The following is a 27,949-nucleotide window of genomic DNA, read 5'->3' on the forward strand; positions in this document are numbered from 1 at the left end:
ATGCAGTCCGAAGCCTTTTCTAGCTCCTGAGACTGTGGTTCAAGGCAGGGCTATGCTTCCCCTCCCAGCCCTGGCCCCGTGACCCCAGCTCTGTGCCTGGCACTGTACAGAAGCCTAAGAGATGCCCACCGCCAGAGCGGGCACCAAATCCTCATCTACTGGGGACCCCAGGGGTGCCCTCCCTGAGAGTTTGGCCTTTGGGCTCACTCCCAGGCAGAGACTCCTCGGAGTTGCTGCTTGATTACCCCTGTGACAGAGAGCTCATTACCTCTCCAGGCCCATTACCTCTCCAGAGAGCTCATTACCTCTCTGCTCCATGGCCTACCCTGCCATCCCCCGACAGCCCCCTTCTGGCCAGCATGATTTTCCCAGTGTCCTCTACCCACCACAAACCCCAGCCCCACAACAGGCTTGCTCTAACAGGACAAGTTGTGCTGAAGATGGGGCCTTCAGAAGCAGTGCTGTATGACAAAGAAGGTTGACTCATGTCTGGACAGGGCTTTCTGGAGTCTGTGGAGCTAAAGACATTAGCATAATACAGAGCTGGGCTTGGTCACTGGTGCTTCCGACTGCAGTAACACAGCAGCTCTCAGACGTGAGCCGTAGATCTCAGACCTTTCCAGAAGCTTGGAGTTCTTGCTTCGTAGTGGGCCCCGACTGTTTCTACTCTTTTCTTTCATTTTGAGACGGAGTCTTACTCTGTCACCCAGGCTGGAGTGCAGTGGTGCTATCTCAGTTCACTGCAACCTCTGCCTCCTGGGTTCAAGCCATTCCCCTCCCTCAGCCTCCCAAGTAGCTGGGATTATAGGCACCTGCCACCACACCTGGCTAATTTTTGTATTTTTAGTAGAGACGGGTTTCACCATGTTGGCCAGGCTGGTCTCAGACTCCTGACCTCAAGTGATCTGCCCTCCTCGGCCTCCCAAAATGCTGGGATTACAGGCGTGAGCTACTGCACCTGACCTTGTTTCTACACTTTAAACCAGCTCCACGGGAGGCCACCTGAGGCCACCTGCTCCAATCCCAGGCAGTGACAATCGTGCAATGTCCCTGGAGCAGGAGTGAGATATCAGATGGACCTGTTCAGGACTGGGGGGGGTCTCACTCCCAGCTGGATCCTTCAAGCCCAGCGCAGCCCCCCAGATTCCACATGTGGGGCGGCAGGGACTCCAGGCCTGAACTATGCATAGCCAGAAGGGTCCATTGCAGGGCTGTGTAGACTGAGGCCCAGAGAGGAGGGCTGAGCAGTCCCAGAGATGCTTGGAGGGACCTCTGTGATAGCCTCGCTTGTGTTTTCCAGGCCCGAGCTGCTCACTGAGGGAGTCAAAGAGCCCATCATGGATAGTCAAGGTACCCAGCGCGGGGTCGGGAGCCATGGTGTGGGCGGGCAAGGGAGGGCCCCAGGCCTCTGCCACCAGCCCCTCCTCCTGCTGCCTCTGTCCTGCTCCCATCCTGGCCCTGGCATTCTCCCCACACCCCCACATTGGGTTTCCCCTAACGATGCCATCTTGGGTCCCAGGAACTGCCTCCTCACTTGGCTTCTCTCCCCCTGCCCTGCCCCCAGAGAGGGATTCCGGGGACCCTCTGGTGGACGAGAGCCTGAAGAGACAGGGCTTTCAAGGTAAGGTTGAGCTCACGGGGAGGTCTGTTGTCCCAGCACCAGGACATTGACCTGGTTTGGGTTTGGAGGGCCAGGCTGGAAGTGGGGAGGAGCTGGCCCCCAACTTCAGGGCCTAAGGGACCAGGCAAGCCAGGTTGGCAGCCCAGGCCCGGCTGTACCCTGCCAGCTCTGTGTTAGAGACTCCAGGGGAGAGGGGGTGCCTACAGGTGGACGGTCGGGGGAGCCCAGGAGCCTGCCTGCCCCCTCCCTGCCCCACCCCCCAGAGGTAGCTGACACGCCCACTCCTTTTTCAGCAATCAGCTGTGGTCTTAGTGCTTTGAAATCAGAATAGGAGCCAGACGCGGCACCTCACGCCTGTAATCTCAGCACTTGGGAAGGTCAAGGTGGGAGGATCGCTTGAGGCTGGGAGCTCGAGACAAGCCTGGACAACATAGAACCCGTCTCTATGTCTATTTTTAAGAAAAGAAATCAGAGGCCGAGTGCAGTGGCTCACGCCTGTAATCCCAGCACTTTGGGCGGCCGAGGCAGGTGGATCACTTGAGGCCAGGAGTTCAAGACCAGCCTGGCCAACATGGTGAAACCCCGTGTCTACCAAAAAAATACAAGAATTAGTTGGGCGAGGTGGCGTGCACCTGTGATCCCAGCTACTAGGGAGGCTAAGGCGGGAGAATCGCTTGAACCTGGGAGGCGGAGATTGCAGTGAGCCGAGATCATGCCACTGCACTCCAGCCTGGGTGACAGAGCAAGACCCTGTCTCAAAAAAAAAAGAAAGAGAGAGAGAGAGAGAGATGGTGGTCTGGGATCCCTCCAGCACATGCTGGCACTTGTCTTTGTTTGTTTGTTTGGATGGAGTTTTACTCTTGTTGCCCAGGCTGGAGTGCAATGGCGTGATCTCAGCCCACTGCAACCTCCGCTTCCCGGGTTCAAGCAATTCTCCTGCCTCAGGCTCCCAAGTAGCTGGGATTATAGGCACGTGCCACCACACCCGGCTAATTTTTGTATTTTTTAGTAGAGACGGGGTTTCACCATGTTGGACAGGCTGGTCTCGAGCTCCTGACCTCAGATGATCTGCCCACCTCAGCCTCCCAAAGTGTTGGGATTACAGGCATGAACCACTGCACCCAGCTTTTTTTTTTTTTTTTTTTTTGAGACAGAGTCTTGCTCTGTCACCCAGGCTGGAGTGCAGTGGTGCGATCTTGGCTCACTACAACCTCCACCTCCCAGGTTCAAGGGGTTCTCTTGCCTCAGCCTCCCAAGTAGCTGGGATTACAGGTACGCACCACCATGCCTGGCTAATTTTTGTATTTTTAGTAGAGATAGGGTTTCACCACATTGGCCAGGCTGGTTTCCAACTCCTGCCCTCAGGTGATCCTCCTGCCTCAGCTTCCCAAAATGCTGGGGTTACAGGCATGAGCCGCCGCGCCCGGTCACACTTGGGCGTTTTTAATGAACACTTTCTGGGTGAGGGTGTCTTGGTGGCTCATGCCTGTAATCCCAGCACTTTTGGAGGCTGAGGCAGGCAGATCACTTGAGCTTGGGGGTTCGAGGCCAGCCTGGGCAACATGGCGAAACCCCATCTCTACCAAAAACACAAAAAAGAAATTAGCCAGGTGCGGTGGTGCACGCCTGTGGTCCCAGCTACTCAGAAGGCTGAAGCAGGAGAATCGCCTGAGCCTGGGAGGTGGAGGTTCCATTGGGAGCCGCCAGGCCCATCCCCTGTGTCTGTGGGGACTGCCCATCCTCCTCCATCTGCTAGATCAGCTGGGCTTCCATTCCCTCGCTTGTCTCCAGCCCCCTAGTGACTTCATGAAGCCCCCGCCCCCTGCCTGCCAGCCCAGGGCACAGGACTCCGTACTCTATGGTGTCCCTCCCCTCCGGGGCTTATTTATTGGTTTGGTGGTTTTCAAATGTCATCAATTAACTTAATTTCCAACTCATCACTGTTGTGGCAACAGTGCATGTCCTTCTGAAAAAAAGACATCTCCATCAACATGTCGGTGCTGAAGGACCTGAGGGGCCCACTCCAAAGATCCTTTAATTGCCGGAGAAGGAGTTCCCCATAATTAGAAAATCATCTTCCTTAAAAGTCACCAAGTGCTTTTTCACTCAACAGCCCAAACCCATAATCGTTTTGCGCTTTGCAGAAAATTATGACGCGAGGCTCTCACGGATCGACATCGCCAACACACTAAGGGAGCAGGTCCAGGACCTTTTCAATAAGAAATACGGTAAGCAGTGCAGAACCCCCGGGGAGGGACACGCAGCTGCTGTGCACAGAGAAGTGGGAGGCTTCCCAGTTCCAGCCGAGGGCATTTCTGGGGAAACAATTCACCCCTTTACATGTATTTCTTGAGCATATACTACGTGCCAGGCACTGTCTCAGGCACTGGGGATATTGCTGTGAATAAAACAGACACAGTCCCTGTACTCATGAGCCTTGCAGACCAATGAGGTGAGATACACTTTCAAGAACTACACACAGAATTTAATAGACAAGGGCCCGGCACAGTGGCTCCTGCCTGTAATCCCAGCACTTTTGGAGGCTGAGGCAGGTGGATCACTTGAGCTCAGGAGTTCGAGGCCAGCCTGGGCAACATGGCAAAACCCCATCTCTACCAAAAACACAAAAAAGAAATTAGCCAGGTGCAGTGGTGCACACCTGTGGTCCCAGCTACTCAGGAAGCTGAAGCAGGAGAATCGCTTGAGCCTGCGAGGGGGAGGTTGCAGTGAGCTGAGATCGCGCCATTGCATTCCAGCCTAGGCAACAAAAGCGAAACTCCGTCTCAAAAAAAAAAAAAAAAAAATGGAGCATATGACATGGGAGCATATTGGTGTGGCTTTTTCTTTCGTTTCTTTTTTTTTTTTTTTTTTTTTTTTTTTTTTGAGACAGGGTCTCACTCTGTCACCCATGCTGGAGTACAGTGGCGTGATCATGGTTCACTACAGCCTCAAACTCCTGGGCTCAAGCAATCCTCCTGCCTCAGCCTCCCAAGTGGCTGGAACTACACCCCACTGGGCACTACCATGCCCAACTAGTTTTTAGAAATTTTTAGTAAAGACAGGGTCTTGCTGTGTTGCCCAGGCTGATCTCGAACTCTTAGACTTAAGAGATCCTCCTGCCTTGGTTCCCCAAAATGCTGGGATTACGGGCATAAGCCACCATGCTGGCCTTTTTTTTATGTTCTGATCAAACAGCTCAGATTGTAATGCCTATACCTTTCCACAGTGCTACACTACATAAGAGCTTTCTCGTACCATTCACTCTCCTGCACGCATGTCTTTCCATCACATCCCCGCAATCCCATGTACACACACCCCACGCTGCCTCTCACTCCTGACGGGCAGGACCCTGCCTCTCGCCCACAGGGGAAGCCTTGGGCATCAAGTACCCGGTCCAGGTCCCCTACAAGCGGATCAAGAGTAACCCCGGCTCCGTGATCATCGAGGGGCTGCCCCCAGGAATCCCGTTCCGAAAGCCCTGTACCTTCGGCTCCCAGAACCTGGAGAGGATTCTTGCTGTGGCTGACAAGATCAAGTTCACAGTCACCAGGTACTCAGTGGGAAGGGTGAGGGTGAAGAGGCAGGACTAGCTCAGATGGGAGCTTGCACCTGCGAATCCTTAGCCTTTCCCTAGGTCCTGCCCTCCCCCCTGGACAAGGTGGCTCTCCTGGCACCATCCTGGGTCCTGGGGGTGGTTGGAGAGGGACTGCAGGCCAGCCCAAGTGAAGGGAGCCCTTCAGAAGTGGGACTGGTCACCCCCCCATGGCAAGGGCAGCCTTTGAGGGCATCTTCAACCTGTTCAGCAACACCCGCTCACTGCACCCCCAGCCCCCGGGAAAGGTATTCAGCCCCCATCAGAGGGATTTGCCCAAGGTCCCGGGGCCAGCCAGGGCAAAGCCTGCACAAGGCCCAGGTCTGCGTCCTGCAGAGTGACACTGCCAATGCCAGCACCCTGCCACATTGTCTCAGTGTCCCGCACACACAGAGCCCCAGGGCAGCTTGTTAAAATGCAGATTCTGCTGCTGTAGGTCTGGGGTGCTCCCAGGGGAGACCGAGGCCACTGAATCCCAGGGGTGTCTTCCTCATCCCCCAGGCCCTCCCCATGACACCCCTGCCTCTGTTTCTCTTCTAGGCCTTTCCAAGGACTCATCCCAAAGCCTGGTAAGAGGCACTGGCTGTGGAGGGGGCACTGGGAATAGGGCCCGATCGTGGTGCTGGGGACTGGAGCTAAGCCTGCTGTGGGGCACAGGTTCTGGGGTCTGGGAACAGAAGCCAGGCCCCTGCCTTTCTTTTTTTTTTTTCTGAGGCAGAGTCCTTCTCTGTCACCCAGGCTGGAGTGCAGTGGCTTCATCTCGGTTCACTGCAACCTCCACCTCCTGGATTCAAGCAATTCTCCTGCCTCAGACTCCTGAGTAGCTGGGATTACAGGCAATTGTCACCATACCTGGCTATTTTTTGTATTTTTGGTAGAGACGGGGTTTCACCATGTTGGCCAGGGCTGGTCTCAAACTCCTGACCTCAAGTGATCCACCCACCTCGGCCTCCCAAAGCGTTGGGATTACAGGCGTGAGCCACTGCGCCCGGCCTAGGCCTCTGCCCTTCTGTTTAGCCACCTTACCTGGGCTCCTGCCCCAGGTAGATGGAGGAAGACTAAGCTTGAATGTGGCCCCAGATCCTGGGACAGAGAAAGGGGTGGTGGCGTCAGTGACTTCTAAGTTTTACCCAGTCTGGGTTCAGGAGGGAGGGGCCAGGCCGAGTCAGTGCACCTGCTCCTCCTGATAAAGGGGCTCTGGTTGACCTCAGTGAATAGGCGAGGTTGGAGGTGAGTGGGTTCCTAACCGCAGAAGGAGGGGTGTCTGCATGGGGACCACAAGCATGTTGGTAAGATGTGGGTGGCGCCTACCCTGCCTTAAACAGTGCAGTGCCTCTCCTGACCCTTTTTAAAAAAATATTTTATATATATAATAAAATATATACATAATAAAAAATATATATAATAAAAATATTATATATAATTAAAAATATTTATATAATTAAAATATTATATATAATTAAAAATATTATATATATAATAAAAAATATTATATAGAGAGAGAGAGAGACAGAGACAGACCAAGTCTCACTTTGTTGCCCAGGCTGGAATGCAATGGCACTATCTCTGCTCACTGCAAACTCCACCTCCCAGGTTCAAGCTATTCTGCCTCAGCCTACCAAGTAGCTGGGATTATAGGTGGGCACCACCATGCCCGGCTAATTTTTGTGTTTTTAGTAGAGCTGGGTTTCACCATATTGGCTAGGCTGGTCTCAAACTCCTGGCCTCAAGTGATCCTCCTGCCTCAGCCTCCCAAAGTGCTGGGATTACAGGCATGAGCCACCACACCCGACCTCCTGACCCTTTTTAAGGCACCCATCCACTTCTGTCTCCACCATGGACTGTGTCCTGGCCTCCCAAACCCAGATTTGCAGGGGCTGTCCCTGCAGGGTGATCCCAAACCCAGATTTGCAGGGGCTGTCCCTGCGGGGCGACATGCCACTTGGCAAGCACTAAGGGCTGGCCAGAGCCTCCAGGGCGGGCCAGGCACGGTGGCTCACACCTGTAATCCCAGCACTTTGGGAAGCCAAGGCAGGAGGATCACTTGAGGTCAGGAGTTCGAGATCAGCCTGACCAACATGGTGAAACCCCATGTCTATTTAAAATCCCAAAATTAGCCAGGTGTGGTGGCGCACACCTGTAATCCCAGCTACTTGGGAGGCTGAGGCAGGAGAATCACTTGAACCCGGGAGGCAGAGGTTGCAGTGAGCCGAGATCGCGCGACTGCACTCCACCTTGGGCGACGGGACTAGATTGTCTCAAAAAAAAAAAAAAAAAAAGAACTTAGGGTACAGTGATGTGGCGGCTGCTGACAGGCCACGGGAACCCCCAGAAGGGGGATCAGGAGGGTGAGGGGTAGTTGGAGAGGGTTTCCTGGAGTAAGGATGGCCCTGCTTGGGCCTCAGGGGAAGATGGGACTTTGAGAGGCAGAGAGGAGGGTGGGTTTGGCGGGGTGAACGGCAGGGGTTGGGGGGTCACTGGATGCCAGAAGTGTGTTTCCGGAGCTCTCGGAGGGGCAGAGTGGTCAGATGATGTTGGAAAGGTGGAGAGAGTGGAAGCTGCAGCAGCACAGTGCAGTGAGTGTGGCTCCAGTGGACACCCGGCTGAGAGGTCACTGGGTTTCTGGCCCTGCACTGGTGCTTTATGCGGGTGCCTTTCACACATATTTTGGGAGGTCCTGCTGGGACAAGGTGGTATTCTAGAGGAACTAGGGTTACAGCAGAGTGCAGACAGAGGAGGCATCTCATTTAGTCTTCATAGCTAGGAGGTTGACGCTAGAGCCCACCTTACAGAGGGGGAGACTGAGGCTCGGTGTGAGTGATGTGTTAATACTCTGTGTCCCAGGGCTAGCAGGTGGTCGTGGCCTCAGCCCTCAGGGATGGACCTGCCAGCCCCTTTCCAGGCGTTGGCACCCAAGCCAGGTATCCACCAGGTATCCACACTTACTCATGCCACTAGTCATGCTGGGCTGGGAACACGTCCAGGCTCCTGGGAGTCTCTGAGGGTTCACCAGAGGTCACTGAGTGCTACTTCTGCACCAGAATGGGCTTTTCTCAAACTCTCCCTCACACGGTTCCCGAAGCCTGGCCTGGGCCAGCACCGGCAGTTCCAGGGTGAATCGGAGTGGAAGCTGGGGTCTGCTGGGGGAGGCAGGGGAAATAGCAGACCCCTTCATCTGGAGGCAGGTGTCCCAGGGCAGGTGGAGGGGTGGCAGATAGTTGCAGAGAGGCGGGTGGCTGGGGACAGTGCCCAGGAGTCAGCCTTCAGGGTCTTAGGCAGCATGTGGGCCATGGGAAAGTGCCGCCTCATTCAAGTCCCTGTACCCGCCTGACTAGCCATGGGAATCTGAGCCTTCACTTCCTTACCGCCAAGATGGACAAGCACACCTGCCTCACCATGTGATCTGAATATGGGAAAAGATGGGCAGTGCTAGGTTAGCTGGGAGGACTATTTTCCGCCAATTGCCCTCTTTTTTTTTTTTTTTTTTTTTTTTTTTTTGAGATGGAATTTAGCTCTTGTTGCCCAGGCTAGAGTGCAATGGTGTGATCCTGGTTCACTGTAACCTCCGCCTCCCAGGTTCAAATGATTCTCCTGCCTCAGCCTCCTGAGTAGCTGAGATTATAGGCGTGTGCCACAGCATCCAGCTAAATTTTTGTATTTGTAGGCACCCTAACACAATGAAAGTCCAGGCTGGTTGACCAGGCTGGTCTCGAACTCCTGGCCAGCCTCAAGTGATCCGCCCATCTTGACCTCCCAAAGTGCTGGGATTACAGGCGTGAGCCACCGCATTCAGCCGCCTTTCTTTTTGTCCTCGTTTGCAAATACAGAATGGACCTTAGTCTGCAAACTCAGAAGTGCGAGACATGTATTTTTATTTTTCTAAAATTGAACTGGACTCCTACCAAAAGCCCCCAATGCAGAGTGGCAGAAACTTTATCTGAGTCCATTTTGGATCATCATTTCCCTTGAGCTTGCACTAGGGCCTGGAACCTTCTGTGAGGCCCACTCAGTAGACACTTCCACACCGCAGAGAGACTGAGCATGAGAAGGTCCGTGCTTGAAAAAGGCCTAACGGTGGGATCTCGGTGCAAAGATGGGAGAGTGGAAACCGAGTGGTGAAGAGATGACTGTGGCACCCAGCAGGGAATTCCCAGGAGGGTGAGGCTTCGGGAACTTTCCAGGGGGACAAACCCTGTTAAGAATGGCTCTAGGGCCTGGTGCTGTGGCTCACGCCTGTAATTCCAGCACTTTGGGAGGCCGAAGTAGGCAGATCACGAGGTCAGGAGTTCGAGACCAGCCTGGCCAACATGGTGAAACCCCGTCTCTACTAAAAATAAAAAATTAGCTGGGCATGGTGGCGGGTGCCTCTAATCCCAGCTACTCGGGAGGCTGAGGCAGGAGAATCGCTTGAAACTTGAAGGCGGAGGTTGCAGTCAGCCAAGATCACACCATTGCACTCCAGCCTGGGCAACAAGAGTGAAACTCCGTCTCAGAAAAAAAAAAAAAGAATGGCTCTAAACCAGGAACAGTGGTTCACCCCTGTAATCCTAGCACTTTGGGAGGCCAAGGTAGGAGGATCACTTGAGGCCAAGAGTTTGAGGCCAGCCTGGGCAACATAACAAGACCCCGTCTCTACAAAAAAATTAAAAATTAGCCAGGCACGGTGGCACGCACCTGTAGTCTCAGCTACTCAGGAGGCCGAAGCAGGAGGATGGCTTGAGCCCAGGAGGTGGAGGTTGCAGTGAGCTGAGATTGTGCAACTGCACTCCAGCCTGGGTGACAGAGCATGACGCCATCTGGAAAAAATAAAAATAAAAAGAATGGCTCTGAGATTTTTTTAGGTCACTTATTGAAGGTTCCCATGGAAGCCTTTCCTAACAGAACCACCCCGAGAAGGTAAAAATTCTGAAAGAGATTGTGCTTTTTTGTTTTTGTTTTGTTTTGTTTTTTTGTTTTAAGATGGAGTTTCTCTTCTTGTTGCCCAGGCTGGAGTGCAATGGCACAATCTTGGCTCACTGCAACCTCCACCTCCCGAGTTCAAGCGATTCGCCTGCCTCAGCCTCCTGAGTAGCTGGAATTACAGGTGTGCACCATGACACTCGGCTAATTTTTGTATTTTGAGTAGAGACGGGGTTTCACCATGTTGGCCAGGCTGATCTCAAACTTCTGACCTCAGGTGATCAGCCCGCCTCAGCCTCCCAGAGTGTTGGGATTACAGGCGTGAGCCACCGCACCTGGCTGAGATTGTGCTTTTTTGAAGATGAATCAGTCATTAAATTGCAAGAGCCCCACTGCACCCTAGAGCTGTGAGCCTCCCCAGTGTAGGGTGAGAGTACAGCCACTCCTGGACTGGTTTTGTTCTGGGTCAAAAGAGATGACTCAGGCCAGACGTGGTGGCTTATACCTATAATCCCAGCATTTTGGGAGGCCAAGATGGGAAAATCACTTGAGCCCAGGAGTTTGAGACCAGCCTGGGTAACATAGCAAGATCCCATCCTGCAAAGACATTTTTTTAAATTAGCCAGACATGGTGGGGACGAACGACTGTATTCCCAGCTACTCGGGAGGCTGAGGCGGGAGGATCCCTCGAGCCTAGGAGTTGGAGGCTGCAGGGAGCCATAATTCCAGTGTGTGTGACAGAGCGAGGTCTTGTCTCTAAAAAAGAGAGAGAGAGAGAGATAAGCCCAGAATGTCTTTAATATTTTCCCAGCTGAGGACATCACGTTTGCCTTCAGTGCCTCAGTTTCCCCACTAAAATCTAGAGGCCCTGCCTGCTCTGACATGCTGAGTGGCGGGCAGGCGTCTAGCTTGAGAGGAAGGCATACTTGGACTTGGACCAAGCCTCAGAGGGCAGTGGGTGAATTTCAGGCCTCAGGTCAAGGGAGCTGTGGGCCAGGGGTTTCTGGGGGCCAGGGGTACTAGAAAGCACCAGACTGAACTGGAGGGGACCTGGTGGGGGGCCTCGGGTTGCAGAGGGATGGGGGGGACTGGGTCCCCCAACTCATACCAGAAGGAACTCCAGCCCTGCCCGCAAGGGGCTGAGACAACCCACGCTCGACCCTGGGGGCTGAACGCCATTGGTAGCTGGTAGCTCTATACTGCCCAACCAGGCCACACCCACCTGCCTGCAGCGGCACTGAATTAAATTAGGGAGACTGCCAGGCGCGGTGGCTCATGCCTGTAATCCCAGCACTTTGGGAGGCCAAGGTGGGTGGATCACGTAAAGTCAGGAGTTCGAGACCAGCCTGGGCAACATGGTGAAACCCCAACTCTACTAAAAATACAAAAATTAGCCAGGCATGGTGGTGCACTCCTGTAATCCCAGCTACTTAGGAGGCTAAGGCAGGAGAATCACTTGAACCTGGGAGGCAGAGGTTGCAGTGAGCCAAGATCGCGCCATTGCACTCCAGCTTGGGCAACAGAGCACAACCCGGTCACAAAAAAAGAAAGAAAAAAGAAAACCCAGGACAGCTAACGGGGGCTGTTCAGGATATGCTGGGAAGAAGCGGTGGTGACTAAGGCGGGAGAAACCCTCTACCCAGGTAGCTGCTGTAATATTCCATCCGAAGAACATTCTAGTAGGTCATAAAAACCTAAAGGGGGTCGGGCATGGTGGCTCATGCCTATAATCCCAGCGCTTTGGGAGGCCAGTGCAGGAGGATTGCTTGAAGCCAGGAGTTGGAGATCAGCCTGGGCAGCATAGTGAGAACCCATCTCTACAAAAAAAATTTTTTTTAATTAGCTGGGCATGGTGGTGGGTGGTGGCGCTTGCCTGTAGTCCTAGCTACCCAGGAGGCTGAGGCAGGAGGGTCACTTGAGCCCAGGAGTTTGAGGCTGCAGCGAGCTATGATCACAAAGCTCACATCACCTCACTTCAACCTGAGTGACAGAGTAAGACCCTCTCTCTAAAAGACACACAAACACACACACACACACACACACACACACACACCCTAAAGAGAAATGCAAATATATGCCCATGGTAGAAATTTGGAAAATACAGAAATCTAACAACCCAGATGGCTGTTCATTTTTATGATGATACATTTCTTCCAGATTTCCCCCCAAGCTTATTAATTTTACATCTCACTGTTCTTCTTTCTATAAATTTACACATTTAACCTTAAAACATAAACATGTTCCCATGTCTTTAAAAAGCTCTGTTCCCTCTTCAGGCTGTATCATGGTTATGTAACTACCCTGTCCCCCAGTTATGGACATTTGAGCAGCCCCTCACACCACAGACACCTAACACTCACGTCACACTTTTTTTTGAGACGGAGTCTCGCTCTGTCCCCCAGGCTGGACTGCAGTCGTGTGATCTCAACTCACCGTAACCTCCGCCTCCCGAGTTCAAGCAATTTTCCTGCCTCAGCCTCCCAAGTAGCTGGGATTACAGGTGCCCGCCACCATGCCAGGCTAATTTTCCTATTTTAGTAGAGACGGGGTTTTGCCATGTTGGCCAGGCTGGTCTCGAACTCCTGACCTCAGGCGATCCACCCGCCTCGGCTTCCCAAACTGCTGGGATTACAGGTGTGAGCCACCATGCCTGACCACGTCATACTTACGATTTGCCGGTTACAAAGCCCACTCACGTTACCACGTCATCTCCCCAAGTAGCTGGCCTTATTGGAGGGGACTGAGGCTCAGAGAGATTAAGCAGCTTTCTCAAGGTCACACAGTAGTGTGGTAGAGATTTGAACCTAAGTCTTTACCATTTTATTATACTTCGGAACCCAGGGCAGGCTCTACCACTAGCCTAGGGCTTGTTGTGTGTCCCTGAAGTGGGTTGCAGCCACGCCCTCTTTCCCACCACCCCTCTGGTCTCATCCACACAGGGTGGCTCTTTGCTGTCCCCTCCTGGCTACCAGCAGCTATTACACTGGTCCTGCCTGTGTAAACCTTTAGGCTTGTAGTTAATCCTTTGAGTTCATTTATTTGTACAACAAAAATGTATGGAGGGCCAGGCGCAGTGGCTCACGCCTGTAATCCTAGCACTTTGGGAGGCTGAGGCAGGCGGATCACAAGGTCAGGAGATCAAGACCATCCTGGCCAGCATGGTGAAACCCCGTCTCTACTAAAAATACAAAAATTCGCTGGGCATGGTGGCGCATGCCTGTAATCCCAGCTACTTGGGAGCCTGAGGCAGGAGAATCGCTTGAACCCGGGAGGCAGAGGTTGCAGTGAACTGAGATTGCACCACAGCACTCCAACCCGGCGACACAGCGAGACCCTGTCTCAAAAATAAAAAAGAAAAAAAAAAGGAGAGAGAGGTGGAAAGTCCGCAGGTGAAGCCCAGGGAGAAACTTACTGAAGGGGGTGATTGGTTGCACCAGCCTCTGCTGGGAGGTCAGTCCTAATGCCTGAGAGTAGACGGAGGTGCTAAGCAACAGGTTGCAGTGGGATGGTTCAGAGCAATTTTGGGGGAAGTGGTGGGGACCAGAGTGGAATAGTGGGCTCAAGAGACAATGAGAAAGGCAAGTGATTGAATCTGCCAAGGACCAAGCACCAAAGTGCCAGCTCACTGCCACCCTCAGTAAAGACTAACTTGCCCTTTCCCCCAACTCCCCTCCCAGAAGTAGCTTGCTCTCCTCTGCCTGCCACACATCGGGGGGGTCAGGTCTAAAAGGATCACCTTTTAGAGGGCAGGAGAGAATGAACAAGAGTTGAGAGTGGAATGGCTGCAGAGAGGGCTTTCTTTTTTTTGGTGGAGGGAGGGGACAGAGTCTCGCTCTATTGCCCAGGCTGGAGTGCAGTGGCGTGATCTCGGCTCACTGCAACCCCCGCCTCCCGGGTTCAAGTGATTCTCCTGCCTCAGCCTCCCGAGTAGCTGGGATTACAGGCGCGTGCTATCGCGCCCGACTATTTTTTGTATTTTTTAGTAGAGATGGGGTTTCACCATGTTGGCCAAGCCGGTGTCAAACTCCTGACCTCAAATGATCCACCTGCCTCAGCCTCCCAAAGTGCTGGGATTACATATATGACCCACCACACCCAGCCAAGAGAGGGTTTTAGAGGTAGGAACAGCAGCTGCATGATCTTCAGCAGATTCAGTAGAGAGGGAAGTGAGCTGTGGGAGAGGAAGGAGGATGGGGGGAATGGCAAGAAAAGGAGCACCCTGCTTAGAAAGGGAACGGAGCTGGGTGTGGTGGCTCACGCCTGTAATCCAGCACTTTGGGAGGCCGAGGCAGTAGGATCACTTGAGCCCAGGAGTTTGAGACCAGCCACATAACAAGACTGCATCTCTATTTAAAAAAAAAAAAAAAAAAGAAGGAGAAAGGGCCGGGCGTGGTGGCTCACGCCTATAATCCCAGCACTTTGGGAGGCCCAGGCGGGCAGATCACAAGGTCAGGAGATCAAGACCATCCTGGCTAACACAGTGAAACCCCGTCTCTACTAAAAATACAAAAAATTAGCTGGGCGTGATGGCGGGCACCTGTAGTCCCAGCTACTTGGGAGGCTGAGTCAGGAGAATGGCGTGAACCCGGGAGGCGGAACTTGCAGTGAGCCGAGATTGTGCCACTGCACTCCAGCCTGTGCGACAGAGCGAGACTCTGTCTCAAAAAAGAAGAAGAAGAAGAAGAAAAAGAAAGAAACAGGATGGGTGGAAGAGGGTTGCTGAATGCTCATGCAAGCTCCTCTCTGCCTGCTCCTTCTCTCAGGGAGGGACAGGGGAGGGTGATGAGTCAGTGGACTAAATGTCCCCATGGGGATGAAGGACAGTTGGGGTCAGGTTTCTAGAGGGAGGGCTGGAAGGAGGGAAGGAGATGGCCAGAGAAGGATGTGGGACACAGAGGTGCCGCCATGGATCACCAAGAGGTTCAGGACTGGCCAGAGGGAGGAGAAGAGGTCAAGGTACGTGTGGGGCACTTGGATGACGCATCTGTGCCTGCACACAGCTGAAATCCCCAGGAAATAAGACGGGAGCAGGGTGGGTTTCTGCAGCCGAGGTGAGACCAAAATGCCAGCTCACTGCCACCCTCAGTAAAGACTAACTTGCCCTTTCCCCCAACTCCCCTCCCAGAAGTAGCTCACTCTCCTCTGCCTGCCACACATCGGGGGGTCAGGGAAAGCTCCCCCTCCCTGAGGAGCTGGTGTTCCCTAGGCCAGGGGCCAGTCCCTGCAGAGATTAGGAGCTGGGAAATCCCCTCCTCCCATCCCGCACGTCCACGCGTGCCAGACCCTGTGCTGTGGGCTTTTCACACACAGCCTCTTAGACGCTTAGCCTGTGAGGTGGGTGCTGTTGTCCTTCCTTCCCATTTTGTAACTGAGCAAACAGCCTGAAACAGACAAAAATCAGGTAGTTAGCATGAGGCCAAAGCCACTCCCTGGTCTATGCTGTTCTGCGGCCTGAGCCTGGGGTGGCCAGGTGGGGTTGTGCAGTGAGGGGGGGATGGAGAATAGCCCCCAAAAATGCTGCCGGAATGGTAAAGGGCCTAGCCTGCAAAGCTAGTAACTTGAGCTTTATTTTGTGGCACTGGCGGTTTTTCCAGTCATTGTAATGATACGATCAGATTTGCGCTGTCTTCAGGTTACCATGGTAACCATATTTCCACCCACCAAGGGTGGATTAGAGAAGGCAAAACTAGGGCAGAGAAGCCAGGGAGTGTTGAGAAGGTCTGAACCCAGGCAGTGGGCAGCTGGGCCCCACGATGGATGGGGTTAGGATCTAGAGGCAGCAGCAGGGTGTGAAGAGGGCGGAAGGTTCCGGAAGGGTGATGGTGGTGCTCGTCTCTAAGGCTGGGTCTGTGGGCTTGTGAGACACATCCAGGGGCCCATAGTGAAACCTGAGTGGTATTTAGTGCAGGCAGGGTGGCAGGCAGGCTGGGGGCCTCTCAGAAGCGTGGAGCTGGCAGAGAGAGACCTGCCCGGGGCATCGGAGGAAAGGGCGACTGTGCAGGAACAGAGTAGACGAGGTGGGGGAACCTTTGGGTAAGAAGAGCTGAGTCAGGAGCATTGAGGCAGCGGTTTTCAAACCTCAGAAGCAACAGCAGGGCCGGGCGCGGTGGCTCAGCCTGTAATCCCAGGACTTTGGGAGGCTGAGGCGGGTAGATCACCTGAGGTCGGGAGTTCGAAACCAGCCTGGCCAACATGGTGAGACCCTGTCTCCACCAAAAAATACAAAAATTAGCCAGGCATGGTGGCGGACGCCTGTAATCCCAGCTACTCGGGAGCTTGAGGCAGGAGAATCGCTTGAACCTGAGACGCAGAGGTTGCAATGAGCTGAGATCACACCACTGCACTCCAGCCTGGGTGACAGAGCAAGACTCTGTCTCAAAAAAAAAAAAAAAGCCAGACACAGTGGCTCATTGCCTGTAATCCCAGCACTTCGGGAGGCCAAGGCAGGAGGATTGCTTGAAGCCAGGAGACCAGCCTGGGCAACATAGTGAGACCCTGTCTCTACAAAAAATGAAAACATTGAGCCAGTGTTGTGGCACACATCTGTAGTCTCAGGTACTCGGGAGGCTGAGGAGGGAGGATCGCTTGAGCCCAGGAAGTCAAAGCTGCAGTAAGCTGTGATCACACCACTGCACTCTAGCCTGCGAGACAGAATGAGACCTTGTCTTTCAAAAAAAAATTCTAGAATTGTTCTTGAATAGCAGTGGTTAACGTTTTTTAAAAGCTTTGGAAGGTAGTGAACTCCCCGTCACTGGAGGCATTTAAGCAGAGGTTGAGCTGCCACTCACTAGAGAGGCCGCTTCCTATAGGGCTTGCTGCAGGAGAGGAGAAAGGGACAAGAGAGCCCTGCCGGTTTTGGAGGGGCTGTGGGGAGGACTAAAACCAAGGAGGGGCCCCTCTACCCACCAAATCCACTTCTCTTTGCTGCCCCGCCACCAGCTCCCCACAGCTCCTCCCTGCGTATGGGCCCAGCCACCCTTCTCCAGTTCCCTTTTGGGCAAACACGAGGGCTCTCCCCGGACCCAGGCCAGCTTCCGCTCCTTTTAGTTCTCCTCTCACCCTGGGGGTACAGCAGTCCCTGCCAGCTTGAGGGGACTGTGGGAAGGCAGCGCCCCACCTCTCCTTCCCCAGAGCAGGGGCTCCAGACCCCAGGGATGTGGCAGAGCTGCCAACTTCCTGTGTGACTCCAGCAAGTCAGGCTTGCCTACCTGGGCCTCAGTTTCCCTACTTGTAAAATGAGAAGAATTGCCCACGCCACGTCTGCCTCCCCTGGGGCCACCCTGGAGTGCATGACCAGGTGAGAAGGAGGGATGGGCTGTCATGAGTGGGAGGTGGTGAGGCAGAGAGACTGGCCAGGATGGAGCGGGGACAGCCTGGGAGGCCTGGCTTTGCAGCATGGACAGGGCCCTTCAGGCCTGGCCCTGGTAAGCTCTTCTGCTGACGTCCCCATAGCGGAGGAACCCGTACAGCCCCACTGGTCGGGGCCAAGCTCTTGGTGGGCTCCAGTTTTATCTAGGACATCCCCACATCGTCTCCTCTGTAAACGTTCCACTTTCATCTCAGTTTAAGGAACTATGTCAAATTACATGCTGCTAGCTGGGCACAGTGGCTCACGCCTGTAATCCCAGCACTTTGGGAGGCCAAGGCAGGAGGGTCACTTGCATCCAGGAGTTCGAAACCAGCCTGGGAAACATAAAGAGATCCTGTCTCGACAAAAAATAAAAAATTAGCCAGGCATGGTGGCGTGTGCCTATAGTCCCAGCTACTCAGGAGGCTGAGGTGGGAGGATCCCTTGACCCTGGGAGTTGGAGGCTGTAGTGGGCTATGATTTTGTCATTGTACTCCAGCCTGGGCAACAGAGTGAGACCTTGTCTCAAAAAAAAAAAATTACATGCCACCGAGGAAGATCATTCCACTTACACTCACCTCTCACCCCCACCAGAATTGTTTGAGGCCCATTTTGAGAAGCTCAGCTGTGGGTGAAATGCCTGCCAGGCACAGGGCTGTGATCCCTTTTCAGGGGGTACAAGTGGAGAAAAGCCAGAAGCCTCAAATACAGTAGCACCACTTGTCATTGTCCTCTTTGATCTCCTGCTAAGCCTCTCTCTTCTGTGGGGTCTCCTGTCACCCAGTGGGTGCTATGGTGGGATGGGCTTCCTGGAGAGGATGACCTGAGCCAGGCCTGGATGCTAGTGTAGGACTGACCTCTGCAGAGGGTACTGGGGTGGACATGGGGAGGGACTGAAGAGCGGCAGGCACAGGAACAGGTCCCTTTTTGCCTTCTCAGGAAGAAGTACCATCACTTCTGAGCTGTGTGATCTTGGATAAGTTAACCTACTATCTCTGATCTTGGATAAGTTAACTTGCTATCTCTGATCTTGGATAAGTTAACTTGCTACCTGTGATCTTGGATAAGTTAACTTACCATCTCTGATCTAGATAAGTCAACTTACTATCTCTGATCTTGGATAAGTTAACTTGCTTGTCTCTGATTTTAGATAAGTTAACTTACTGTCTTTGATCTTGGATGAGTTAACTGTCTTTGGGTCTCCATTTCTTTGACGTGATACAGAACAAGGACATCCTCCATGATCCTCCCTTCTGCTGCCCAAGACTTGAGAGTCATTTCCTTGTCGCCAATCACACACAGGCACACACCCTCTGGCCCCTGCCTCCCTCTCTCAGCCTTCCCCACCCCCTCTCTACCCTTCCAACTCTGTCTTGAGCTCTTGAAAGCTCAAAATAAAGCCACCCTTTCTCAAGTTTCTAAAGATATCACAATTCCAGCGCCAGCCACATGTTTCTCCACTGAATTATCTCTGCTTGTCTTTGTTAATTAGGGTTCAGTAATGATCTCCCTTCTGCCTTCCCAGGGAGAGCTGGCATCTGCGGGGCGGGGCTTGGAGGCCTTTGTGGGCAGACGAGACGCCCTACTGCCGGGCCCAGAGTTGGCCCGACGCCTCCTTTCTTCTGAAGTGGCAGAGTGGGCCATGAAATGATGGCATGTTGGGGAGACCCTGCCCTTTTCTGGCTGGTGGGGACTTAGCTGGGGTCATTGCAACACCATTCTGCCCCCCAACCTTCCACACGTCGGGGAAGGGAACTCCAAGGTTTTTAGCCTTTATTAGATGGGCTTCCAGGCTGGGTGCGGTTGCTTACACTTGTCATCCCAGCACTGTGGGAAGTTGAGGCAGGCGGATTGCTTGAGCAATCCTGGAGTTCGAGACCAGCCTGGGCAACATGGCAAAATCCCATCTTGACAAAAAATGAGCCAGGCATGAGGGCACATGCCTGTAGTCCCAGCTACTCAGGAGGTTAAGGCAAGAGGCTCACTTGAGCCCAGGAGGTTGAGGCTGTGGTGAGCCGTGATCGTGCCACTGCCCACCAGCCTGGGCAACAGAGCAAGACCTTCTCTCAAAAAAAAAAAAAACGATTAAAATTTAAAATAGACAGGGGCTTTCCGGACCCGAAAGGGAGCAGGGTTGGGGGCGCCTTTAGAGTCTTTTGCAACATCCCAGAAAGCCTCCCAGAAACCCTTTCCCCAGCGAAGACCACCCAAGCTGACAAGAGCAACCAGCACCTTTATTTGGGCTGGAATGAGATCAGCACCGAGGGGTCGCCAGGCACCTTGTGCAGAACAGAAGCTGATGCGTGTGTCTGAGCCATAGAAGTAGAGCAGGGGCAGGGTGGTAACCATGGCTCAGCACATGTGGTTTACTGGGTGTACCCGATCCTTCCAGCCTTGTGGGGAGGGGTGTGGGGACAAAAGAGGAGGGAGGTGGAGGTTGGGGGCCATGCAGGCCTAGCCCTCTAAGAACCTTCGTGTCATGGAGAGGGCTCAGCACCACCCACAGCAGACTTCGTGTGGCCCCAACAGAGGCCTTGGGGGCGCAGGTGCAGTCACTCATTTGTGCACAGGCCCAGGTGTCTCACTGGGGCCAGCACTGTGCCAGATACTGGTCTTTTATTATTATTTCATTATTCTTTTTGTTTGTTTCTGTTTTGTTTTGTCTTTGAGACAGAGTTGCGCTCTTATTGCCCAGGCTGGAGTGCAGCAGTGCAATCTCAGCTCACTGCAACCTCCGCCTCCCGGGTTCAAGCAATTCTCCTGCCTTAGCCTCCTGAGCATCTGGGATTACAGGCATGCACCACCACACCAAGCTAATTTTTTTTTTTTTTTTTTTTTTTGTATTTTTAGTAGAGACTGGATTTCACCATGTTGGCCAGGCTGGTCTCGAACTCCTGACCTCAGGTGATCCACCTGCCTCGACCTCCCAAAGTGCCGGGATTACTGGTGTGAGCCACTGAGCCCGGCCTCATTATTCTTATTTAATATTTTTGTAGGACAGCATCTTGCTTCATTGCCCAGGCTGGTCTAGAACTCCTGGCTTCAAGGGATCTCACCGCCTTGGTTTCCCAAAGTGCTGGGATTACAGGCGTGAGCCACTACACCGGGCCTAGATACTGGAATTTTTTTTTTTTTTTTTTTTTAAGGCAGGGTCTCTCTCTGTCACTCAGGCTGGAGTGCAGTAGCACGATCACGGCTCACTGCATCCTCGACCTCCCTAAGCTCAAGTGATCCTCCTGCCTCAGCCTCCCAAGTAGCTGGGACTGGAGGCGTGCACCACCGTGCCAGGCTAATTTTTGTATTTTTTTGTAGAGACGGGGTTTTGCCATGTTTCCCAGGCTGGTCTGGAACTCCTGGGCTCAAGTAATCCACACACCTCTAACTTCCAAAGTACTGGGATTACAGATGTGAGCCACCGTGCCCGGCCTATGCTGGACTTTTAATCAACACTGATTAAAAAAAAAAAAAAACCCGGCTGAGTGCAGTGGTTCACGTCTGTAATCCCAGCACTTCGGGAGGCTGAGGTGGGCGGATCACCTAAGGTCAGGAGTTTGAGACCAGCCTGGCTAACATGGTGAAACTCCGTTTCTACTAAAAATACAAAAAATTAGCCCAGCATCATGACACACACCTATAATCCCAGCTACTTGGGAGGCTGAGGCAGGAGAATCGCTTGAACCCGGGAGGTGGAAGTTGCAGTGAGCCGAGATTGCGCCATTGCGCTCCAGCTTGGGCAACAAGAGCGAAACTCCGTCTCAAAATACAAAAAAACAAAAAAAACCCAGCCTCACGGAGCCTACATGGTGGGGCGGGGGGATAAACAGAAAATCTGCAAAGCGTAAACCATGGGAGCAATTGTATTTATTTTTAGGAGATTGCAACATTATTTAGGTGATGACCAGAAGGAGGCCTTAGTTTTAAAGGCCTGAAGGGGCAGCAGGGAACAGCATTGCAGGCAGAGAGAACAGCAGCTGCAAAGCCCCTGAGGTCACCTGCCAAGGTATCAGAGGAAGGTCAGGGGAAGTGAGAGATGAGATGGAGATGGACAGGGAAGATGGTACATGGCCAGATAAGGATTTTGACTTTTGCTCAGAGTGAGCTTAGAGTCGGTGCAGTTCTGAGCAGAGGGTAACAGGATCCAGCTTGTTTTAACAGAATCCCTCTGGTTGCTGGCTTGAGGACAGACAAGGGTGGAGAGACATAAGGAGGTTGTAATAATCCAGGCGACGCCTGTGGCGGCAGTGGGGTGGTGAGTCACCCACTCTTAGGTGAGTTGGCTGAAGCCAACAGAATGTGCTGATATAAGCTGTGAGAAAATGAGGAGCTGACTTTGACTTCAGAGGTTCAGGCTGAACTTGGGGAAGGACGGAGGTGCTGTGGGTGGAGACAGGGAAGATGCAGGAGAAGCTGGTGGGGCAGGAGGTGGCGGATCAGGCGTGTTCAATCTGGGGTCTCATCCAGTCGAAGTTGGAAGCAAGTTGGGGCTCAGGGGAGCAGTCCAGGCTTGAGATATGATTTGGGGAATCATGAATTTATAACTGGTATTTCAAGCCTTAAAACAGGCCGGGTCCAGTGGCTCACGCCAGCACTCTGGAAGGCTGAGACAGAAGGGTCACTTGAGCCCAGGAGTTCGAGACAAGCCTGGGCAACATAGCAAGACCCCATCTCTAAAAAAAAAAAAATAGCTGCACGTAGTGCACACCTGTGGTCCCAGCTACTAGGGAGGCTGAGGTGGGAGGATGACTTGAGCTCAGGAGGTCAGGCTGCAGTGAGCCACGATTGTGCCACTGAACTCCAGCGTGGGAAACAGAGTGAGACCCTGTCTCAAAAAAATAAATAAATTACCTAAACGTAGTGGCTTCAAACAACACAAATTTATTGCCTTACAGTTTTGGAGATCAGAAGTCTGAAATGAGTCTTCCAAGGCTAATGTCAAGGTGTCAGGGGCCAGGTGCAGTGGCTCACGACTGTAATCCTAGCACTTCGGGAGGCTGAGGCGGGCGAATCACTTGAGATCAGGAGTTCGAGACCAGCCTGGCCAACGTGGTAAAACCCCATCTCTACTAAAAATACAAAAATTAGCCAGGTGTGGTGGTGCGCACTTGTAATCCCAGCTACTCGGGAGGCTGAGGCAAGAGAATCCCTTGAACCCAGGAGGCGGAGTTTGCAGTGAGCTGAGATCGTGCCATTGCACTCCAGCCTGGGCTACAAGAAAAAAAAAAAAAAAAGATGTCAGCAGGGCTGATCCTTCTGGAGGCTCTAGGGGAAAATCTATTTCCTTGTCTTTTTTTTTTTTTTTTTTTTTTTTTTTTTTTTGAGACAGAGTCTTCAGGCTGGAGTGCAGTGGCGCGATCTCAGCTCACTGCAACCTCCGCCTTCCAGGTTCAAGCAATTCTCCTGCCTCAGCTTCCTGAGTAGCTGGGATTACAGGCATATGCCAACATGCCCGGCTAATTTTTGTATTTGTAGTAGAGACAGGGTTTCACCATGTTGCCCAGGCTGGTCTCAAACTCCTGACCTCAAGTGATCTGCCCACTTTGGCCTTCCAAAGTGCTGGGATTACAGGTGTGAGCCACTGAGCACGGCCCCCTGTTTTAAGGATTAAATGAATGAATCCATGCAAAGATCAAAGAGCAGTGCCTGGCACAGAAGAGCTCAGATTCTCTGAGTTACCAAGTGCCCGTGATGGGTTGGGCATTTTTTTTATTTGTTTGTTTGTTTTGAGATGGAGTCTTGCTCTGTCGCCCAGGCTGGAGTGCAGTGGCGCAATCTCGGCTCACTGCAAGCTCTGCCTCCTGAGTTCAAGCAATTCTCCTGCCTCAGCCTCCTGAGTAGCTGTGACTACAAGCGTGCACCACCTATCCCAGCTAATTTTTTGTATTTTTAGTAGAGACGGGATTTCGCCATGTTGGCCAGACTAGTCTTGAACTCCTGGCCTCAAGCGATCCACCCGCCTCAGCCTCCCAAAGTGGTGGGATTACAGGCGTGAGCCACCGCGCCCAGCTGGGTTCAGTAATTCTTAGCATATTGCCAATTTTCCCTGCTTTCTCTCTCACACACACGCGCACACACATAATTTCTCTTTCTTTTTCTCTATTTGAAGTAAGGTGCAAACATCTTGACTCTTCGTGCCTAAATGTTTCAATGCACATCTCCTAAGAAAACACTGTTATCTTACATACTCACAATAGCATCATCGTACTTATACAACTTAATAATTCCCTGTCATCTAATACATGGTCTTTATTCAAATTTCCAAAACTGTCTTCTATGCCTGTTCTCCTCCATGATATAATCATTTTTCACTGGTTGATTTCTTTTTTAATTTTTTTTTTTTTTAAAGACAGTCTCCCTCTTGCCCAGGCAGGAGTGCAGTGGCACAGTCATAGCTTACTGCAGCCTGGACCTTCTAGGCTCAAACCATCCTTACCACCTCAGCCCCTCGAGTGGCTAGGACTACAAGCACACGTGCTACCATGCCCAGCTCATATTTTATTTTTTACTTTTGTAGAGATAGGCTGGAGTGCAGTGACACTATCACATAGCTCACTGTAACCTCCAACTCCTGGGCTCAAACAATCCTCCCGCATCAGCCTCCCAAGTAGCTGGGACTATAGCTGGGTGCCACTGTACCAGCTACTTTTAAATTTTTTGTAGACAGAGTCTCTCTATGTTACCCAAGGCTGGTCTCCAACTCCTGCCCTCAAGTGATCCTCCTGTCTCGGCCTCCCAAAGTGCTGAGATTATAGGTGTGAGCCACCACGCCAGGCTCACGGGTTAATTTTTTAAAAATTATTTTATTGCATGTAATGTTTGCCTAAACAAAAATTATTTCATTTTGCTTATAATTTTACTTTCTTTTTTTTGAGACGGAGTCTCGCACTGTCGCCCAGGCTGGAGTGAAGTAGTGTGATCTTGGCTCACTGCAACCTCCACCTCCCAGGTTCAAGTGATTCTCCTGCCTCACTCAGCCTTCCGAGTAGCTGGGACTATAGGTGCCCGCCACCACGCCCAGCTAATTTTTTGTAGAGACGGGGTTTCACTGTGTTAGCCAGGATGGTCTCCATCTCCTGACCTCACGATCCACCCGCCTCAGCCTCCCAAAATGCTGGGATTACAGGCATGAGCCACCGCGCCCAGCCTATAATTTTACTTTTATGACAAAGGCGTGTTATTGAATAGAGTCTGGGACTTGCTGTTTTCCACTTAGCTTTGGTTGACATAATGCTGAAGTGTGTAGCTGTAGCTTCTTAGTTCTCATGGCTCTATAATCTTCCATTGAGTGGAATTTTACCATGATGCAATTCCTCTCTCTCCCCTCCTTGGGGATTGGGCTGCTTCCATTGTTTTGCTGTTACTAAGAATGCAATTAACACTTATAGCCGGGCACGATGGCTCATGTCTGTAAACCCAGCACTGTGGCAGGCCACGACGGGAGGATCCCTTGAGCTCAGGAGTTTGAGACCAGCCTGGGCAACATGGCAAGACCCCATCTCTACTAAAAATACAAAAAAATTAGCCAGGCATGGTGGCATGCTTGCTATTCAAGAGGCTGAGGCGGGAGGATCGCTTCAGCCCAGGAGGCAGAGGTTGCAGTGAGCTGAGATCATGCCACTGCACTCCAGCCTGGGCAACAGAGCGAGATCCTGTCTCAAAAAAAAAAAAAAAGCAGAGGAGGAGAAGCATAGATCCGTTAAAAAGTTTAAGGCCCAGCCTGGTGACTCGCCCCTGTAATCCCAACACTTTGGGAGGCTGAGGCGGAAGAATTGCTTGAAGCCAGGAGTTTGAGATCAACCTGGGCAACATAGCAAGATCCTGTCTCTACAAAAATGTTAAAATTAGCCAGACGTGGTGGTATGCACCTGTAGGCCCATGTACTCAGGAGACTGCGGCAGGAGGATGAGGTCAAGGCTGCAGTGAGCTAGGATCGCACTACTGCATGGGTGACAAAATGAGACTACATCTCTAAAAAAAAATTTTTTTTGAAAAGGAAGAGGAAGAAGGCCAGGCGCAGTGGCTCATGCCCGTAATCCCAGCACTTTGGGAGACCGAGGCAGGCGGATCACCTGAGGTCAGGAGTTCAAGACCAGCCTGACCAACATGATGAAACCCCGTCTCTACTAAAAATACAAAAATTAGCCAAGCGTGGTGGCTCGTGCCGGTAGTCTCAGCTACTTAGGAGGCTAAGGCAGGAGAATTGCTGGAACCTGGGAGGCGGAGGTTGCAGTGAGCCCAGATCACGCCACCGCACTCCACCCTGAGCGACAGAGCAAGACTCCATCTTAAGAAAAAAAAAAAAAAAACTACAGTTCCCTTTGTAAAATGGGTTTTTGGTAGAGACAGTGTCTTGCTGTCATTCCGGCTAGAGTCCAGTAGCTGGGACTACAGGTGTGGGCCACCATGCCCAGCTAATTTTTCCATTTTTATAGAGATGGGATCTTGCTATGTTGCCCAGGCTACATTTTTTTTTAAATCATGAGTTTTTGAAGGAAATTGGATAGGGCAGGCTGTGGTAGGGGATGGATTGGACAAGCCCCTGCTTGAATGCCTGCATACAGTGGGGAAAAGGGGGATCAAAATGGGTCAAGCCTTAAGGGTCCCTCCTGCACGCAGTGTCCAGGTGCAGGTCTGGGATGGCAGAAGAACCACAGGCTCATGAGCACTGGCCTGGGCACAGGTCCACAGGTCTCTGCCCCGCTGCAGCTTGGCCCTCCTCTCTCCAGGCCTCAGTTATCTCATCCATGAAATGGAGCTGATGGAATTCCTGCTAAACCTGTGCGCAGGCCCTACAAGGGGTTAAAAGCTGAACCTGAATGTAGCTTTTTTATTTTTTCGAGACCGGGTCTCACTCTGTCACCCAGGCTGGAATGCAGTGGTGCAATCGCTGCAGCCGTGAACTCTGCCCGGGCCTGGCAGGGAGTTGGGGCTCTGTGAAGTGGTTCAGGAGGGGAGAGAAGGACCATTATCCCACGCTTCTGCTACAGATCGCAGTCTCTCCCCTCTAAACCGCCCTTGCCCTTCGCTGGCTGCGTCTCCCTGCTGTGAATGGTCGTAATTACCAACGTGAGGTCGTCAGTCTGAGCTGAAGTCCTCTAACTAGGCGGGGAGAGTCAGGGCTGGCCAGGGCTCTTGCACTTTGCCCCGAGAGAGAGCCGTGGAGCCAGCCCAGGCACCACCCGAGCCAGTTGGTTTAAAATTGTGTACATAGCATGGCTGTGATTCAGTGAGCTTGGTTGTCTTTTTTTTTTCCCCCTTGGCAAATTTCAGTTACTCCTTGGGCTAACAGACAGCAGACTGGTAAAGATAAGATGAGAGTTGCCCAGCCAGCGTTAAAGAGAGAGAGGAGACCGAAGAACAGAATGAGCAGGAGGGGGGCAGGAAAAATGTCAAGGGAAGGCCTGTCCACCAAAGGTGTCACTGTCCAGGGGCAGTGGGCAGGAGGTCGCTGCTGCGGGGATGGGTTCTTTCAGCAGGACTTTCTGCACAGCACTGGGGGCAGAAACATGAAGGTGAAACCCTACACACACTGAGTCCTAACTATGACATTTCCAAACAGAGAACACTCTGAAATGTTTGCAACTGTGGGTGTCTTTACAGCCAGCCTGGGTTCAGGGGAGCTCAGGCAGGTCCTCCCGAGAATAGGTTTGCTGACTTGGTGTTCCGGACGGTAAACTAAACCCCCTTTTCTGGGGGGGGTTGGGGGGAGACGGAGTTTTGCTCTTGTTGCCCAGGCTGGAGTGCAGTGGCGCCATCTCGGCTCACTGCAACCTCCGCCTCCCGGGTTCAAGTGATTCTCCTGCCTCAGCCTCCCAAGTAGCTGGGATTACAGGCACCCGCCACTATGCCCGGCTAATTTTTTTTTATTAGTAGTAGAGATGAGGTTTCACCATGTTGGCCAGGCTGGTCTTGAACTCCTGACCTCAGCTGATCCACCCACATTGGCCTCTCAAAGTGTTGGGATGAAAGGCATGAGCCACCGCATGCCCGGCCCATTGCTGCTTTACAGATGAGGACATCGAGTGGTTCAGGGACTTGCCCAGGGTCGCGAGCTGATTGCAGAGCTGGGATTTGAACCCAGGCAATCAGTCTTGGGTAGACCACTGGGCTTGTGACCCTGGCCTTGAAGGGCCCGGTATTGCTCCTGCCCCTGCAGTGTCCTCAGCAGCTCTCTGAGGCGATTCTCTGATCCGTGTTTTTCCCGTGAGCAGATTAGACTCAAAGGTGACCGGGCATGCTGGAGCTGCCCTGCCCCACCTGAGGCCGAGGCCACCACTGCCCACAGCAGTCCTTGGGGAACTCCCTGGTGGCGACCTGGTGGTGGTGGCAGGAGCCTGGCTCTGTTGGGAAAGAGGACTCATGACCCCACCTGCAGCTCTCCGAGATGCTCAGCTGGTCTGGGCACGATGGCTCACGCCTGTATCTCAGCACTTTGGAAGGCCAAGGTGGGTGGATTGCTTGAGCTTAGGAGTTGAAGACCAGCCTGGGCAAC

General features: G+C 52.6%; 1 protein-coding gene across 20 annotated transcripts in view, besides 2 other annotated features; it reads left to right on the forward strand.

The window, feature by feature from the left end:
* The window catches only part of GTF2IRD1 (GTF2I repeat domain containing 1), a 148,700-nt gene that overhangs the window by 99,968 nt on the left and 20,783 nt on the right, over nt 1–27,949 (forward strand). For 8 of the 20 annotated variants that reach the window (XM_047421058.1, NM_016328.3, XM_047421056.1 and 5 more), the window contains exons 18-22: nt 1,301–1,350; nt 1,520–1,621; nt 3,766–3,849; nt 4,988–5,171; nt 5,754–5,782. In XM_047421058.1, the coding sequence (XP_047277014.1) occupies nt 1,301–1,350; nt 1,520–1,621; nt 3,766–3,849; nt 4,988–5,171; nt 5,754–5,782 (449 nt within the window). The remainder of the gene's footprint in view (nt 1–1,300; nt 1,351–1,519; nt 1,622–3,765; nt 3,850–4,987; nt 5,172–5,753; nt 5,783–27,949) is intronic. The other 12 variants (NM_001199207.2, NM_005685.4, XM_047421057.1 and 9 more) reach the window with 2 other exon arrangements.
* Nucleotides 27,143–27,644: an enhancer, noted in NCBI's record as "H3K4me1 hESC enhancer chr7:73995345-73995846 (GRCh37/hg19 assembly coordinates)". NCBI's record gives its function as "activates a minimal SCP1, AML or CMV promoter by ChIP-STARR-seq in primed H9 embryonic stem cells {active_cell/tissue: H9 hESC(primed)}" and the evidence as "EXISTENCE:reporter gene assay evidence [ECO:0000049][PMID:30033119]".
* Nucleotides 27,607–27,901: a silencer, noted in NCBI's record as "tiled region #2459; HepG2 Repressive DNase matched - State 5:Enh, and K562 Repressive non-DNase unmatched - State 7:EnhWF". NCBI's record gives its function as "represses a minimal TATA promoter and a strong SV40 promoter by Sharpr-MPRA in HepG2 and K562 cells {active_cell/tissue: HepG2 | K562}" and the evidence as "EXISTENCE:reporter gene assay evidence [ECO:0000049][PMID:27701403]".

Source organism: Homo sapiens, chromosome 7, assembly GCF_000001405.40.
Source record: "Homo sapiens chromosome 7, GRCh38.p14 Primary Assembly".
NCBI lineage: Eukaryota > Metazoa > Chordata > Mammalia > Primates > Hominidae > Homo > Homo sapiens.